This window comes from Homo sapiens, chromosome 2 (assembly GCF_000001405.40).
Source record: "Homo sapiens chromosome 2, GRCh38.p14 Primary Assembly".
Lineage (NCBI taxonomy): Eukaryota > Metazoa > Chordata > Mammalia > Primates > Hominidae > Homo > Homo sapiens.
In genome coordinates, this window is record NC_000002.12 from 12966349 (window position 1) to 12985259 (window position 18911).

Genomic DNA, 18911 nt, shown 5'->3' on the forward strand with positions numbered 1-18911 from the left:
GACCATATATGTTACAAAACTATAAGCAATTCTATATTTTTATTGTTTTTACCTTTCTTCATAAAAAGTATTGTCTAAATCAAGTTATTGCATCAATCCATATACAATTCAAATATGAAATTCTCATTCATTGATTTTTATATTATTTGTACACAAACAGAATGTAACAAAATGTATGATACTTATTTCTGTATTTCCAAGATATTAGTATTCAAATATCGTTCTACCAGTACATTCTCAGATTCTCTTTGAAATTGAAGTTGAATAGAATGCCAGATTTATCTCAGGTGCAAAAATATGGTTGTCAAATAAACAAACAAAAAGAACTAACACAAAACAGAGAATTAAGAAAATATCTCAGTAGCCCAAATAGCATTCCAGTTATAGACATCCATACATGAGAAAGCATAAAATGAAATGGAGTTATTAGATATTCAATCTGGAAAGAACTTTATTATTTCTCATAAAAGCTTAGGGGCAACATTAAGTACATTTTCAAAAAAATCTTGAGAGCACAGACTCATAATTTTGAAGCTCAAATAAGACTTCAGAGGTATATAAAGAGCACTGGACTAAGAGTCAAGATACCTTGGCTCAAGGTACAACTTTGCTATTTATTAGCTGGTCCTTGACATGACCAGGTTAGCAAGGTAGAAAGATTACAAAGGTTGGCATGAAGAAGGTAGGCTTGTATGAGTGATGGTGGATGATAACAAATCTGGGGAAATGAAATGAACTACAGACAGGACACATGCGATGTGCTTCAGAGTATGCAGCTTTTCCAATCAAGGAAAGCTTCGTGCAGGAGGCCAAACAGAACCTGAACGCTGCAGTATGACCTCAGGGACTCACATCACTTTCTGAAATATCTAACAAAAATCGCATTTCTGCTGTTGCACTCTGAATTCCTAGAACTTGTGCGTGAACCATTTCACTGCATTCATTTTCCCCATGTTATTCTTTAACCAGCCTTCTTTCTTGATCACATTCCTAGATCTGAGATGTTTTCCTTTCAGTCTTTTCGGCATAAGACCTAATTACATAGCTAGTTGTCCAGTAATGTCTGGGAAGAGAAAAACCTTAAGTTTGTCATCTCTCAGTAGGACACCCCGGCTAAAGCCTTCTGGACACAGCAAGGATATTGTCTTCTCTCTCTTATAATCCTGTTGTATCTTCCACACATAGCATAATCAGCTATAAAGTTTTCCAATTCTTCAAAATAATTACTACCACATTTCTCAGAGATTTTCCAAGATTTCCTCAAAATTGGGAAAGTATTGATTCAGCTCAGTATTGATTCAGTCTAGTATTGATTCAGCTTCACTTATCACTTTCAGTGGATGGGTGGTCTTCACATGTACTGGACAGGTCCTCACTTAAATAAGATTTAGCAGCTACAAATCCAGTTACTGCATCAATCCACGTACGATTTATCTGTAGGTGAGCTCACAGTCCAAATGTGGACTGCCAGAAGTTGGGCAAAATGGAACTTGGTTCATTCTGCAGAGTGGACCACTGGGAATTGTACTGAGAATTACCAGAGCTGCATATCCTCTATTCACTCCTCCAGCTACAGTCTCTGCTTTCCATTGTGGCCCAGGAGACAAACTTACATTCTACATTATCAGCTTCTTTGATCTCTTGGCTTAGAGTAGCTTCAGCCAATCAGAGAACCTAGAGGGACACTGAACAAGGGAAAAGAGAAGTCTGAGGGTTTATCCACACAACCCCTGTCCGCCTCAGGCCCATGGCTTGAAAGTAGCTACATCTCTGCCAACACTCAGATTCTGTGGGGCACCCTTCTCTCAGGGCTCCAGCACTCCAGGGTTCTGTAATTTTGCTTCCTCCTCTCTCCCTTCCAGGCCTACAGGCAGTAGCTGCTCCCCGCTATTGCCAGGCTCTGGAGCTAGGGTGTAGCTGTGCCTCATCGGTTCCCTTCACTCTGCTCATACCTCCATTAACAAGCCATTCATAAACACCCTTTCTCATACCTTTGAACTCTATCTATAGATACCACAATGGTAAGAAAGACTGGTGAACATTTTGGAGGCAAACACACACCTGATGTTTCTGCAATTATGTTGGATTCAGAGCAAGAATACCTAGACTCTGTTTCTAGTTCTGTCACTTACCGGCTTTGTGATCTCAGCAAAGTTAATTATTAGGTTGGTGCAAAAGTAATTGTGTTTTTTTGTCATTTTTTTAATGGCAAAAACCGCAATTACTTTTGCACCAATGTAATATCCCAGAGACTCAGCTTTATCATCTGTAAAATGGGAGTAATAAACTCTCAGCTTCATTGTATGAGTTAAATTATATAAAAACTTAATATAGCTGTCACTTTTTCCTGAATTCATGTGTCCTTTGGTTTTTGATAACATTTTCCAAATAACAAAGTAATATGAAAGATGTTCCTACTCTTTATTAGTCTCAGCCGCTCTCCAAGTATCCTCTGGGTTTGCTTTTCACTTTCTTTTCTTTCCTCTAAACCCTAAAGAATCCTGTACGCAACAACACCGTATCCAAACCCTGACCTAGTGGGCTCGATGTCTGCGTTTGTGAGGACCACTCAGGCTGGTAACTGCCCACGCTGGTAAAAACAGGTTTCCACATACCCCACTTGCCTTGTGCCCACCAATAAATCCTTTATTTATACTCACTTTTCTAAAATGCAATTAGTTGACGTGGACTGAGTGCCTTTTTGACTTTAAGACTTGCCTACCTATTTTCAGAGCTTTTAGAGGACTGCCTCTTCGGGCTGTCTCCAGGTTGGGCTACCAAGGGCCATGCTTGTAAGATTGCCATCCTGACTGCACTAGATTTTTCCCTTCGTATTTATTTGGAGAAATTGAGGGAAGAATATTCTTATGACTTCTCTTCACACAAACAAGGCAAGTGAAAGTGTAAACTGCAATATATGCTGGAAGTTGTTTGATAAAAATTCCTTTTATGACAATCCAGTTGGATGGGATGAGAGCAGGCTTTTCATCGTGAGACTGACTTGAATTGCTTTGGGACCTGAGTATCCTCAACCATTTGGAGTTCTGTTTTTCTCATTTGTAAGATGAAAATAATAATGTGTACTTTGATGAGGAAGTCACCAATAAGAGAGGACTTTGGGAGCGATAAATAAGACAATGTATGAGAAAGTAAGCTGTACAGGGTCACCTGGTAAGCACTCAGGATGTGTTCTGTTAAGTTTAATTTTTTTCTTTTTTTTGAGGCGGAATTTCACTCTTGTTGCCCAGGCTGGAGTGCAATGGCACAATCTCGGCTCACCACAAACTCCACCCCCCTTGGGTTCACATGATTCTCCTGCCTCAGTCTCCCAGGTAGCTGGGATTACAGGCATGCACCACCACGCCTGACTAATTTTGTATTTTGAGTAGAGACAGGGTTTTTCCATGTTGTTCAGGCTGGTCTCAAACTCCCAACCTCAGGTGATCTGCCTGCCTCAGCCTCCCAAAGTGCTGAGATTACAGGCCTGAGCCACTGTGCATGGACTATATTTATTAAAAGTTCATTTTTAGCCCCTTTTCTATATTTGCACAATTTCAACCAGGTTTCTAACCAGACACTTGTTTCTTGGCAGTTTGATATGTTTACTATGCATGAATAGTGACAAAATATATAAAAATTATCAATTATTTAAAAATGAATGATTTATTCAGAATTCATGTGCAGCCAAATATGAGTTTAGATGGTTACTTCCCATTTAGTAAGCCAGGTGAAGCTGTAATGATAATGAGAGTAGCAATAGCTGTTGCTTATAGAGAGCTTCCTCAGTGTCAGACATTGTTGTAAATACCACCTATATTTAACTCACAGAAACTTCATAACAAAGCTATGATATAGCTATTATTACTCCCATGACCAGATGAGAACATTGAGGCCGTGGAGAATGACTTGTCCAAGTGTTTTAGGCTGAAAAAGGGGCTGCTCCACCCAAAGATGTTCACATCCTAATCCCTTGAACCTCTGAATACGTTACTTTACTTAGCAAAAGGGACTTTGCAGATACAATTAACTTAAGAAAATTGAGTTGGGCAGCTTGTTTTAGATTATCCAGGTGGGCCAAATATAATCACAAGAGTCCTTATAAAGAGGGAGGCAAGAAGGTCAGAGTCAGGACTGTGTGTAATGATGAAAGAGAGGTCAGAGCGATGTGGGAACATGAGCCAAGGAATGTGGGCAGTCTCTAGAAGTTGGAAAAAGCAAGGAAAAATAATCTCTGCTAGAGCCTCCTGAAGGAACTAAGTCCTGCTGGCACCTCAGTTTTTAGTAATTTGTTATAACAAAAATAGGAAACTAATAAATCAAGTGACTCACCTGAGTTCACTCAATTTGTTTAAGAGTGGGAATAGAGGGAGCTTGAATTCTTATCAAGACAATTTGATTCCAAAATCTTTACCTTTAACCACCATACACTATAATTCATTCTAAATTTGCTAGCTAATATTTAATTAATGTGAATAACAATGTTCATCTCACAAAGCATTTGTGATAATTAATTATTAAAAGTCCTGAAATGTGTTGTGGTAGACTGAAAAAAATGTGGCTGCGATATTTGTAGCTCATTCCATAAAGAGATGGCATCAGTTTCCTTGCCTCTGGAAGCCAGGCTATCTTGTGACTCACTCTGGCAATAGAATGGGGGTAAAAGTGATGTTGTGTGAATTCCTTGTGGCTTGTACACTTGTGTCTTGGAATGCCTTTGCCATCATATAAACAAGATCAGTCTAGTCTACTGGAGGATGAGAGGCCACGTTGGAGAGAACCAAGGAGACCCAGCCAATAGACAGAGCCAATCACCAGACCTGTAAATGAGACCGTTTTCAACATTTCTACCCCAGCTGAAATTCTACCTCAATGCAGACGCATGATTAAGCCCAGGCAAGTTGAGCAGAATGTTTTAGCCAACCCACAGAATCATGAGAAACAATAAATGGATTTTTGTTATTAGCCACTAACTTTTAGGGTGACTAGTTATAAAGCAATAGATATCTGATAAACGTATAAGGTGATTACAATATGATTTATTTTCCTCTTTTAAAGTAAGAAAATACTCAATTTCTTAAAAGCCAGTGAGCAAAAGAGCAGCAAACATTGGTTTGATGCTGACTTAAATTAATTCCTTCTCTTAACTTCAGGTCCTGGAAAATATGAATATGTTAAATATGTCTTCAAGGGTGTTAGAAATCTTACGTATTTAATTTTTTCAATAACCAGTCAGAATCTTCATTGTATGATAAGGAAATTGCGGCACAGAGAGATTGACTCACTTGTCTGAGGGCATAGAGCTAGAAAGAAGTTGAGACGGGTTTGTAACTTAGATCTGTCTGGCACAAAAGTACGTTTTTCCCCCTAAGCTCAGCTGAAAATGTTCTTAGCAGTCCCTACAGACATCATTTTGCTCTTGTAAATGTCTTCAACTAGTTTTCATCAGTGAGTGGAAAATAGCCAGGATATGATATTCTACAACATCTCCCTTAACATTCAAATCCACTGGTAACAGTTGCCAGGCAAAATGTCTTATGCTAAAATTACCTGTCTTATGAGAAGTTAAAATAGTTTTAAAGAGTCTTCTCCTCTCAACATGCCTTATATTGTTAACTTTACTCATTTTTTCCCTTTCTGAAATATAATGTGAAGAAAATTTATATCTTAAACAGAAAGCTCTGGTGTTTTAAATTGCAATTGGAGATTCAAAACAATTGGAGAAGGAAAGGTACAGTCAGTTGAGATCATCTGTTATCCTTGCAGAATCCATTTGGAAGCACACACAGAACATGGGGGAGAAAAATCCTTCTGGTTGTTTTCTGCCATTTTCCCTGTCTCTCGTTTTTGTCCTGTCACCATTTTCAATCAAACAGAGTATATGAGAACATTGGCCTTGATTCAGAAAAAGAATGGAAGAATGTCTAAAACATATGAACATCCCTTTCTCAGAAAGAGCTGTTCACAATCCACACAATATAATAAACTGAATTATTTTGCTATAGAATCATTTTTGAATAATTCTTTGTTTTTCTCTTAAAAGAGTACTTCCTATACACTAATTACAAAATAAAAATTAAAAGAGAGTAAATAAGGAAAAAATTAGTTATTGTATTAATTTGTTTTCACACTGCTGATAAAGACATACTGGAAACCAGGAAGAAAAAGAAAGTTAATTAGACTTACAGTTCCATATGGCTGGGGGGGTCCTCAGAATCATGGTGGGACATGAAAGGCACTTCTTACACGGTGGCGGCAAGAGAAAATGAGGAAGAAGCAAAGCAGAAACCCCAGATAAACCAATCAGATCTCATGAGACTTATTCACTATCATGAAAATAACACGGGAAAGGTTGGCCCCCATGATTCAATTACCTCCCCCTAGGTCCCACAACACATTGGAATTCTGGAAGATACAATTCAAGTCAAGATTTTGATGGAGACACAGCCAAACCATATCATTCTGCCCCGGCCCCTCCAAATCTCATGTCCTCACATTTCAAAACCAATCATGCCTTTCTGACAGTTCCCCAAAGTTTTAACTCATTTCAGCATTAACTCAAGAGTCCACAGTCCAAAGTCTCATCTGAGATAAGGCAAATCCCTTCTGCCTATGAGCCTGTAAATCAAAAACAAGCTAATTACTTCCTAGATACAATGGGGGTACAGGTATTGGGTAAATACAGTTGTTCCAAGTGGGAGAAATTGGCCAAAACAAACGGGTTACAGGCCTCATGCATGTCTGAAATCCAGCGGGGCAGTCAAGTTTTAAAGCTCCAAAATGATCTCCTTTGACTCCAGGTCTCACATCCAGGTCATGCTGATGCAAAAGATGGGTTCCCATGGTCTTAGGCAGCTCAACCCCTGTGGCTTTGTAGGGTACAGCCTCCCTCCCTGCTGCTTTCACAGGCTGGCATTGAGTGTCTGTGGCTTTTCCAGGCACATGGTGCAAGCTGTCAGTGGATCTACCATTCTGGGGTCTGGAGGATGGGGGCCAACTTCTCACAGCTCCATTAGGCAATGCCCCAGTAGGGACTCTGTGTGGGGGCTCTGATTCTGTATTTCCCTTCCACGCTGCCCTAGCAGAGGTTCTCCATGAGGGCCCCACCCCTGAAGAAAACTTTTGCCTGGGCATCCAGGCATCGGAGGTTCCCAAAGCTCAATTCTTGACTTTTGTGCATCGGCAGGCTCAACACCATGTAGAACCTGCCAAGCCTTGGGGGTCCACCCTCTGAAGCCACAGCCCAAATTCTACATTGGCCCCTTTCAGCCATGGCTAGAGCATCTGGGACACAGGGTACATGTCCCTAGGCTGCACACAACACAGGGACCCTGGGCCTAGCTCACAAAATCACTTTTTCCTCCAGGGCCTCTGAGCCTGTATGGGAGGGGCTGCTGTGAAGTTCTCTGACACGGCCTGGAGACCTTTTCCCCATGGTCTTGGGATTAACATTAGGCTCCTTGCTATTTATGCAAATTTCTGCAGCTGGCTTGAATTTCCTCTCAAAAATAATGGGATTTTCTTTTCTACTGCATCATCAGGCTGCAAAATTTCTGAACTTTTATGCTGTTTCCCTTTTAAAATTGAATGCCTTTAACAGCACCCAAGTCACCTCTTGAATGCTTTGCTGCTTAGAAATTTCTTCCACCACATATCCTAAATCATTTCTCTCAAGTTCAAAGTTCCACAAGTCTCTAAGGCAGGGACAAACTGCCACAGTCTTTTGGCTAAAACATAACAAGAGTCACCTTTGTTCCAATTCTCAATAGGTTCCTCATCTCCATCTGAGACCACCTCAGCCTGGATCTTATTGTTCATATCACTATCAGCATTTTTGTCAAAGCCATTCAACAAGTCTCTGGGAGGTTCGAAACTTTCACACATTTTCCTATCTTCTTCTGAGCCTTCAAAACTGTTCCAAGCTCTGCCTGTTAGCCAGTTCCAAAGTTGCTTCCACATTTTTGGGTATGTTTTCAGCAATACCTGACTCTACTGGTACCAATTTACTCATAGTCCAACATATAGAGCTGATTTTCCTTGATATGTTAATATATTTTATTTCAGCTTTTAATATAATCTGGACACCTTTTTTTCATTGAAGAGCTAATTTTGTATCTTTAATTTTTCTTATTATGACATAAGCTTTTCAAATTTATTATAAACTCTTTATAGAGGTCAATGCAGTTTATCATGTGGTGGTACATCTCCCCTCTGCTTGAGAACATTAAACGATATTGAGGGGGCTTTTGGTTGTAACAGTGATTGAGGGTCCACTGGCATTTAGCACCAGGAGCTCAGGAATGCTAAACTTCTTGCAATGTGCAAGACAGTCTTGAAATTTAAAACTAATTGCTCTACCCAAGTACATTAATATCTCAATTGAGAATACTGAATGTGGACTATTATTATGATTTTATAATGAATCCCTTGCTAGTGAGAAGGCTAAATGGCACAGCCACTTTGAAAACAGTTTGTCCTTGTCGCACTAAAGCTAAACATAGTTTTACCATACAATAAAGCAATTTCACTTCCAGGAATTTACTCAACTGATTGAAAAACTTACACTGACACACAAAACCTACATACGACGGTTTATAGCAGTTCTTTGATAATCATCAAAAACTGAAAACAACAAAGGTGTCCTTCAGTAGGAGAATAGATAAACAAATGCTTCATCTATACAACAGAATACTATTAACTTACAAAACGGAATAAACTATCAAGCCACATGAAGGCATAAAGGAATCTTAAATGCACATTGCTAAGTGAAGACACCAATCTGAAAAGACTACATAATTTATGATTCTATTCATATGACATTATGGAAAAGGAAAACTATAGGAACTATAAAAAGACCACCACAATTTTCAAGGGTTGATAGGTGAAGCAAAGAACTTCTTTTTTTTTTTTTTTTTTAGGTAGTGAACTATTGTTTACAGTAAGGTAATAGTAGATAAATAACACAATGCATTTGTAGAAACCTATTGAAATGATAGCATAGAGAGCAAACTTTAGTGCATGTCAACTAAAAAAAAAAAAAGAAAATGAAGGATTTAAGGATGGAATGCAAACTTTGACAAAATAACCCAACTGTAGTTTAAATGTATGAAATAACCACTCTGAAGAGGGTGAGAGAAATCTGTAAGACTAAAGGCAAAAAATAACTGTATAAAAGCTATGTATTCTAGTTGAAAAGTTGTTTCCCCCAGGAGTACAAGTTAACAATTCTGACACCATTGTACATTTATGCTGGAATTGAATAATTAAGTAAATGGATGGAAGACAGAGCAAGCCATGTTTCTCACTGCTTCAGGGAGAGGTTAAGACAAGCAGGAGGAGAATGTTAAGCTGATCTATGTGGTAATGGAGTAGAGTTGCCAACATCAGTAAGAACTCCTGTTTAGATAAATATAAATGGTTACATATAAAAATAAAGATATGTGTGTATACACAAGGGGTGAATATACACACATTTATGTTTTTGAATTGTCATGAAAGAGGACCTAGAAGTCATGACTCTCAGTAGCAATGAGGACACCTAGCATACAGATTTGGGTTTTTGATTTGATTCTCCAGTGAAAGAAACTATGGCTCCTTGGAGAAATGGCTGATTCCAGGACTTAGTCAAAAAATATACAGGATAAGCCTGGAGCATCTTGTAGCATCAGTAAATAAGAGAGTTCTCAGAAAAAAAAAAAAAGGACGGGGGAGAAGAAGAGCCCACAATATTGTGGGTATATATATTAAAAAAAAAAAAGTCAACTGAGGCCAGTTGTGATGGCTCAAGCCCGTAATCCCAGCACTGTGGGAGGCCGAGGCTGGTGGATCACTTGAGGCCAGAAGTTTGAGAACAGGCTGGCCAATATAGCAAAACCCTGTCTCTACTAAAAATAAAAATAATAAAAAAAACAGCTGGGCATGGTGGTGCATGCCTGCAATCCCAGCTACTTGGGAGCCTGAGGCAGGAGAATTGCTTGAGCCTGGGAGGCAGAGGTTGCAGTGAGCCAAGATTGCACCACTGCACTCCAGCCTGGGTGACAGGGCAATACTCTATCTCACAAAACAAAACAAAACAAAACAAAACACTAACTGAGAGAGCAACAATGGCCAAAACTCAATTTGAAAAACAAAATTAAATAGTTTGAATTATACACCAAATTGTCTCTCCTCTCTGATTCCCAAATGTATTTCTTTTTAATTTATTTTTTATATTTAACTTTTATATTTTAACATTTTTAAATCTTTATGTATATCAGTATGTACTTATGGATATATATTCATATAAGTACATATAAATAAATGATTGAATAAGCTTAAAAAACACAGAGAAGAGCGAGATTTTCCATGCAGAAAAGCCCCAAATAATTTATGTTGATCCTCTCCCTCAAGGTGGTAAAGCATAACTCCCTGCTCCTTAAGCCTGGACTTGTACTTAGTGACTTCATTTCCAACAGTACAGTATGGAAAAAAGAAAACAGAGTTACTTTAGTGAGGAATCTCGACCAACACTATTTCAGCTAAGTGAGCAAGGTCAACATCAAGAGTGAGCAGTCATGGTGACAGCAGGCATCGTTCATACGATATGATGAGAAGGACACTTTACCTTCATGGTCTTCCTCCCCAAATCACATAATGCAAGTCTAATAATGAGGAAAATATCAGGTAAATCCTAATTGAAGGACATTTTACAAAATAACCTGACGAGTACTGAAAACTTTCTAGGTTATCAAAAATCAGGAAATCTGAACAAACTTGGACTTAATGAATAATTATATATCCATTTTTAGCTCAAAATTGTGACTCGGGTACCATATGAGGATATGTCACTAATGGGGGAAATTGGTTGCGGGTCTATGGGAACTTTTAGTACTATTTTCATGATTTTTCTGTAAATCTAAAACGATTCTCTCTCTCTCTCTCTCTCTATATATATATATATACACATACATATACACATATATACATATATATGTATGTGTATATATATGTGTATGTGTGTATATATATATAAACTCAAGAAAGCAATATGACTTCTCTGGGTAGCATTTTGTAAATTTTGGACGATCCCTCTGTTGTTTACAATAATCGGTAAGACATTATTCAAATTTAATGGGCCAAAGACAGGATTGGGTTGCCAACTGTGAAACTACTAAACACACCCCATGCACTCAACCATTTGCCCATTCATGTAGGTAAAACAAACAAACAAAAAAACCCACTTATAATTATTTAGGAATAAAAACCCAACCTCATTTTACATATAAGTACAAAGTAATGTTTTCATGGTTTTAATATGCAATACATGAAGATACTTCTGTTCTGTACTGAAGGAAGATTGTAAATTATTTTTCTTGAAACTTTACTAAGACTTGCTGTGCTCTATTGGAAAAATCATGTAAACAAAGGCATCAGTGCAAATGAAATTTGAATATCTAATACAAAACAGAAGTCAGTTTGTGTTTGTCGCTATCACATATACAGTGATTCTATACTTATGCACAAATATCTAATACATTATATCTTTTAGGGTGGTTATTTTTCAGTATTCATGTCTTAAAACATCTATTATTTGTCATAACTGCCTGTTACTTTTTTTTATGTTACATGAAAAATTCTACTTACTTTTCGAAAACTTGTATATAAGTAGGTAGTATAACTTATCCATTATAATTCCAGATAACAAAGAAAGTATTCAACTATTTATTATAAAACGGATTTGGATCTGATTGCATTGAATACCACTAACTTCATATAATAAACTGAACTAGGGACAGAAACTTTAACAGAGACAACAAATCGTCTACCAAAACTGTCAACTACTGTTCTATAGTATGCAGTTGTTTCTGGGAAGTGCTTGCCCAGAATGGAACAATATTGTAAAATCCTTCCTGCTTCTAAGCAAGCTGATGTGACAGTTTTCAGCGCTGTAATATTGCAAAATGGGTAAGCCTTCCTCACCTCCCTGTGCCCTGGCTAGAAATCAGGAACTTCATAGACTTGGGCATGGATCAGTTACAAGTTAGAAAGAACCAAATCCCAGAATTAAGACGGTGAAGACTTTCTGACCACCAAGGTACATCTATGTTGGACTCTCCAGGAGGGAGAAATTAACTTCTATTTTGATAAGTCATTGCAATTTGGGGGATTTTGCTATAACAATAATCATTACCAAACTAACACACAGAATCCACGTTTATCACTGACTAAATTGAGAAAGCCACTTACTGGGTCTTCTTTTTTTTTTTTTTCTTAATCTTTAAAAGGAAGTAAAACATAATGAAAACCTTATGGGGCTATTGTGGGATTTAAGTAAGATCATACTTAGAAAAAAAGCACTTGCACTTAGTAAGCCTAACTTCAGTTGCCTGGGGCATTGCCCTTTTTATTCCAATTTGTATATTTATTTACCTGCAATTTAACTTCTAACATCCAATAATGAAACCTAGACCTCAATTTCATTTAACTAGACTAGGTTGTAACTAAGGCTCTGAAATGCGTCTGTCAAATCCCAAGATTGCCAGGTCATAGGGTCTCCTTTTTTGTTCTTTCTATTAAATGTGTCATTTGAAATATAGATAGCCATCACTTTCTCTCTGAATCAAGTCTCACAGAGTAGTGACTGTTGGATATTTTGCTTCACTTATTTATCAGAAAAATATATCATTTATTTTGTGACCAAAATGGTAATTGTTACTGATGTGCATCACATTTTCCCCAAACTGTGGAGAATTTACATCATTCATGCAGTGTAGAGGTAGAAAAGGTTCAAGGTTCAAATCCTGTGTAAAACTCTTGCATAAGCTCCCAAGGGGGCTTCCAGACTGCGTTTTTGCTCATGATGAAAATACAGGCATTTGTTTAAAAATTGTGTAGAAGCTATGAATATGGAAAAGATGAGGCTAATGCCAGTGCATGCGTCAGCCACTCCATGTTTTATTCAGAGCCATGGCTCACAGACCCAGAGACCTTGCGACACACCCTTGCCTGAAATGCCATGCTGCCTATGGGCAAGAGTCAGCAAGCACTTTCAAATAGAGTGCTTTGTTTTCAAATAATACCTATTTCAAAATTTCCCAGATGACCAATTTTGGAAGCAAACAAAGTTGCCAAAAGTTAAGAAGGAGTCTGTATAGCTGGTCAAAAATCTTCAAATTTTTCTGACTGATCACAATAAGTATTTTTCGGCACACTATGAAAACAACAATTGCACTTATTTACGTTAAAGACACAGGAAGCAAATAATTTGATTGCATATTAAGAATTTCTCAAGCACTTCAATTAATCATTTTCTCATCATCTTAACACTCTACAATGGTGCATTGTTTCCTACAGAAATGGCTTCAAATTATTTGGGGCAAAAAAAGTCTTTGAATAGTTCATCACAGTTTTGTAAGTCGTCTTCCTTTCTCCCTCTTCCCAACACATAATATGCGTATGTAGGCAAAATATATGACATTTCGGGTAGCTTATGAACTCTTAACATCAGCACATGGACTCTAGCATCGGATCCACTGGCCTTCAGGGTAAATGTCCACCTACCTGCTCAGCCTGCTTTCAAATTCTTTTATTTGCTCCTTACCTTCCCAAGCAGACCCTTCTCACTTTGCTCACCCTATGCCGCCTTCACCTCTAGGTGACCACACACCACATCAGTCTCTGAATACACTGACATGTTCATGCATCTGTGCCTTTGCACATCCCATTCTTGACCTGAAAAGGCCATCTTCTCACCATCATCTGATTCATTATTCTTCAATACATTACCTCAGATTCCTTTTCTTCCATAAAACCTAGTTTTCCATGTGCTTTTTCTTGCTACCTTCTCTGTGCCCTGATAGCACAGTCTGTGCACCTCTGTTCAAGCACTCATCACTCTATACCATATTCATTCTGGCTCCTTCCAGGCATGGAATGAATTCTATTAAAATCTGTATCTCTAACCTCCAACATAAAGTGTGTTATAAATAGAGATGATCAATGAAAGTCTGTAGAATGAATGAATGAATGAATGACGGAATGGCCTCTCTTACATTTTGAAGACAGAGAGGACTTAGGCTTAACTGTGAACAACTGAAACGAATAACAGATCCCAGTATCACCAGCAAAGCCTCGGTGTGCTTTACTGCAGAACAGCAAGTGCCAAGCTAATTTAATTGGGTTATTTCAGATCAAATAAAAGGCAAGGTCAAGAGAAGAGAACAGAAGCAAGCAAAGTGTCAATGTTAGATTAAAACATAGTGGCCAATAAAATCATCAGGTGAAAAATGAATGCCAATTTTCATGGTGTTCAACCAGTCTTTATGAGATGAAAACAAGCTGCAGGCACACTTTTTTTTTTTTTTAAGTAAAAACAAACCTAATAAGCAGAAGGACTGAGTTGAGCCCCTAGGGGAGGAGTGGGTTGCTGTTCTCATTGGGGTGTGGAAGCTGGGTAACAGCACATATTTTTTTACAGATCTCTCTTTCTCACTAACAGAAGAGTGAAAGAGAGGACGTTAGAATATAAAGACAGAGCAGGTTTCCACAGCTATATCCTGCCCTCCCCTTCATTAAGCCTCCAGCCCCTCCAGGCCTAGTATGAACCTATTATCTTTTAGCCCAGAGTTCCCATGTCAAATGCTGACGAAGAGGGTTGGCAAGCCATAAAGAGGAAATCAGGAGGCCGGAATTCCAATATGTGCTGTAACTTACCTGCTCGTGGAATGCTTGGTATGTTACACTTGCTATCCTCAATTTCTTTTTCAAGCTGGGCCATCATGTCTCTCTCACTGGACTGAAAGAGGGAGAAAACAGGAAACTGGGCACTCCTGGAGAGTGCCTCTTGCCTCCCAGGCAGAGGCTGAATTCTATTAATATTTGTATTTCTAACCTCTAACATAAAGTCTGGTATACGTAGAGACGATCATTGATAGTCTGTAGAATGTACATTTATTATATTGTATACTGCCGAGTCCATGTATGTACCCTTCATAAAAATAGGAGCTCTTTGAAGGCGGGAACCAATTTTTACTTAATTTTACTTTCTAAGAGCCTGGAATGTAATAGATAACAAACGCTCACTGAAATGAAAAAGGAGGTATTCGGTGAACACCCAGTATAAAAATACATTATTTACTATGATAGTTCCTGAAGATTACAAGAAACAAACATGGTTTATTGATGTATAAGAAGATTGGCATCTTCCTATGTAGACAAAGGAGGCTACCTGGAAGGCATTAGCAAGCAATATGATATGGCATATCAATAAGTCCTTGTCTTAGCACAGGCTGTTCTAAAAATATCATAAACTGGGTGTCTTAAACAACACAAATTTATTTCTTATAGTTCTGGAAGCTAGAAGGTTAAGGACAGGGTGCCAGCATTGTTAGGGTCCTGGTGAGTACCCCATTTCTGGTTTATAGACACCCATCCTGTGTATGCTTATATGACATAGAGAGGGATAGCTAGCTTTCTAGCATCTTCTTATAAGAGCACTAATCCCATTCATGATGATTTCAGTTTCATGGACTAATTATCTCCCAAAGACCCCACTTCCTAATATCCTCACATTGTGATGAGGGTTTCAACATATGAATTTCTGGAGAGAAGACACAAATATTCAGTCCATAGCAGTCCTAATGATTTAGAGCAGGAGATATTTGTTAAAGTATAATAATTGGGCAAAGTGGAATTTCAGTCCTTGGTTCATACATATCTTTTCAAATACCTTTTTAGGTAAATGAAAAATACCTTCCAATGACAAAATATTTCTGAATATATCAAATATGTTATTCTCCCACTTCATCAGGTAAATTGTATGAATGTGACTTTAATCCACTGGATGGAAGTTTTTTGAATTCCAGACACAAATACAGAAGCACAGTTACTAGTTTAATTGAAACATCTGTTTTCAACTTCCTGAAAGGAACAGAAGAGGTTGCCAATGTACATACATATTTGAAGCAGGGCTTGTATTGCACACATGGATACAATATGCATTTGTAAAAATTTTCCAAGTGGTCTAATATCCCATTCAGGAAAAAGATGATGGAAGAATATGATACAGGAAGATGAGTAAGTCCTGCAACCGCCTTTTAGGAATTCAAGTTTCTAAGAGAGAGCAGAGATCACTGCTTAATAGTCAGTGTAAACCAGCTGCTGGCCATGTGATCAAATGTTTACCTATGGGTAATGTTTTAACCCCATTTCTCAGAAAGGAACAAAAGTCTCTAGTTCAAGTGGAGGGATAAGTTTGGATATAAGTTTCCATAGTTCCAAATTCTGGCCTATTTTCTTTTACTAATTTGTTCAATGACTTTGACAAAGCACCTCATCATTTCATCATTCTGGGTCTCAGGTTTTTCATCTGCAAATTAAAAATTGCTAACAGGAACTGGGTCAAGGTCACTGGACTCTAGATCTCTTGAAATGATAATAGTCTTTAAATCAATAAGCAGGTAGCCAATCTCCAAAGAATTGAGAATGCAACCCACATTTCCTAAACAATACCCTAATTGTCTTAACAAGTTAATCACCTGGCACTTATTACAATCTCTACATTTTGGGTAGAGATTTATAGATGCAAGGACAGGGAAAAGCTAAACCTATTTTCTGACCTGAAGAAAATAAAGTAAAATGAAAGCATCCTAAGAATTTATGTTGGATCTTAACCCTGGTCATATTAATCCACTGAGCAATAGAACAGACCAAAAAGGATCTGAGCCTAGCAACTCACCTTGCCTCTCAGCATGCTATGTCATCCAGAACACTGTCAGAATTAAGTAGTTAATACAGGTAACTGTGATATGGTTTAGCTCTGTGTTCCCATCTAAATCTCACATCAATTTGTAATCCCCACACATTGAGGGTGAGACCTGGTGGGAGGTGATTGGATTATGGGGTCGGTTTTCACCATGTTGTTCTTGTGATAATGAGGGCGTTCTCAGGAGGTCTGATGGTTTTAAAAGTGGCAGTTTCCCCTGCTCTCTCTTTCTCTTCTGTCACCTTGTGAAGAAGGTGCCTGCTTCCCCTTCACCTTCCACTATGATTGTAAGTTTCCTGAGGCCTCCCCAGCCATGTTGAACTGTGAGTCAATTACATCTACTTTCTTTATAAATTATCCAGTCTCAGGTAGTATCTTTATAGCAATGTGAGAACAGACTATTACAACATGTTACGTAACTTATGTGAGTTTTAGTTTTCTTGTTTACATTAAAGGGAAAATAATGACTATTCTCCTGTTAAGTATTAAATAAAACCCGTAAGTGAAGGATCTAGCATAGTACCTACAGGGCATGGTAGATTAAAAATATAGTTGGTTTTACCATGCTACAGAATTGCCTTTGCAAAACAGTTCCTTTTAATGAAATGTGGCCTAATATCACTCTGCTTTCTAGACCTTTATAGCTGCCTTTTCTTGCTGTGCCTACTGTTAGCACCAGGTACTTAGGTTTGCTTGAAACTTCCTAGCCATATTTTGAAAACCAAAAATCGTATCCTTAACATGGGGTCCTGAGATCTATTTCTTTGTATTTTCATTCATCTCTGGCCCCGAGGCCACTCACTTACAGGCATCAGATTTTCTCTAAGCCCTCTGATGTTGTCCAGGGAAGGACACACTTCAGGAGAGACAAATGAGGCGAGAAAATGGCAAGATTTTTTCTGAAAGGTCATGGAAGAAAATGTACAGACCAGTCTGTGGCATGACTGACCCACTGAGGCGAGCAGAGGTGGCACCTGGGCCGCCACCTCGGAGGGAGGTAGATGCCCTGGGAGGGTATGGGGAGGTGGAGGTGGGGAAGAAAGAGTGGCAGTGGTCAGGCTTCATACTGCCCTTCAAAGCACTGGAAACCCACAGAGCAACCGGAAATAGATTCCTCCAAGATCTCTGTCTCTTCACAAACATTTTTGCCAAGCATTCAAAGGAACTAAAGGCTTGTGATCCAAATCAGAGACTTATGAACTCCCTTCAATTTCTGGTTGACCTTTGAAGGAAATTGACGCAAACATATTCTGAAAAACTCCAAAGTGCAGGAATAAAAAAGAGAGTGAAAGTTATGAGGAGGATGATTTCGACTCCACCTAACAGAAGTATCACACAGAGCTGTCTGCAATGGGCTAGGTACATTGAGGATCTATTTAGTACAATGTAATTACTCATCAGTTAAGCCCAGAAGTTGACAATCAAATTCAAATATCACATAAAAGGTGAAACAGATTTCTAATTGGTACTTGGCAACTTTGAGTTTCTAATGTTTTTGGCTTTTTTCTAAAATGAACATATAGTAGCCAAATAGGTATTAGGAGCCTTTATTCTTTCTTCTCACCCTCTTTCCGAGTGATATATATTTTCAGAGTTTCAGCAGCCCACAGATGTCTTACTCCTCTGTTGTCTCTGGAATTTAGACCTGCATATCCAATGCTTGTGGGGCATCTCCACAAGGGAGTCCCACAGGCACTGCAAACTACATATTCAAAATTAAAATGTGAAGAATTACTTAATGGGTACAGTACACATTATTTGGATAATGGTTACACTAAAGTCCAGACTTCATGACTATGTAATATATCTATGCCACAAAACTGTACTTCTCAAATTGACACAAATGAAAAAGACAGAGAGAGAAAGAGAGAGAGGAGAGAGACTAATGCTGAGAATGGCTACTACATTTCAATTCCCTTTTAGCAGAATCAAAGGAACCAAAGACTGTATTTCCCAGACTTCTTTAAAACGACCATCACAGATGTGAAAATAGTGCAAATTTGGTAGCATGGCGTTTCTAGAGATACACAGGAAAGGACATTTGTCTTTCTCCATTCTAAAGTTGTCCTCATGTACCTCAGCTTAGAGCCAGCTTCTTCTAGGAATTTTGCAAGAACCTAATTACCTTTATTAAATCCTGTTTTGTTTTAACTAGTGTGGATCCTTTTTTTTT

The 18911-nt window shown here is 38.3% G+C and overlaps 1 long non-coding RNA gene across 1 annotated transcript in view, besides 1 other annotated feature; it reads right to left on the bottom strand.

The window, feature by feature from the left end:
• Window positions 1–433: 433 nt before the first annotated feature.
• The window catches only part of LOC100506474 (uncharacterized), a 40232-nt gene continuing 21754 nt past the window's right edge, over window positions 434–18911 (bottom strand). Inside the window, exons 5-6 of the long non-coding RNA NR_038434.1 lie at window positions 14689–14770; window positions 434–1685 (exon numbers count right to left, since the gene is read on the bottom strand). This is a non-coding gene — a long non-coding RNA (uncharacterized LOC100506474). The remainder of the gene's footprint in view (window positions 1686–14688; window positions 14771–18911) is intronic.
• Window positions 14478–14981: an enhancer, noted in NCBI's record as "OCT4-NANOG hESC enhancer chr2:13120952-13121455 (GRCh37/hg19 assembly coordinates)". NCBI's record gives its function as "activates a minimal SCP1, AML or CMV promoter by ChIP-STARR-seq in primed H9 embryonic stem cells {active_cell/tissue: H9 hESC(primed)}" and the evidence as "EXISTENCE:reporter gene assay evidence [ECO:0000049][PMID:30033119]".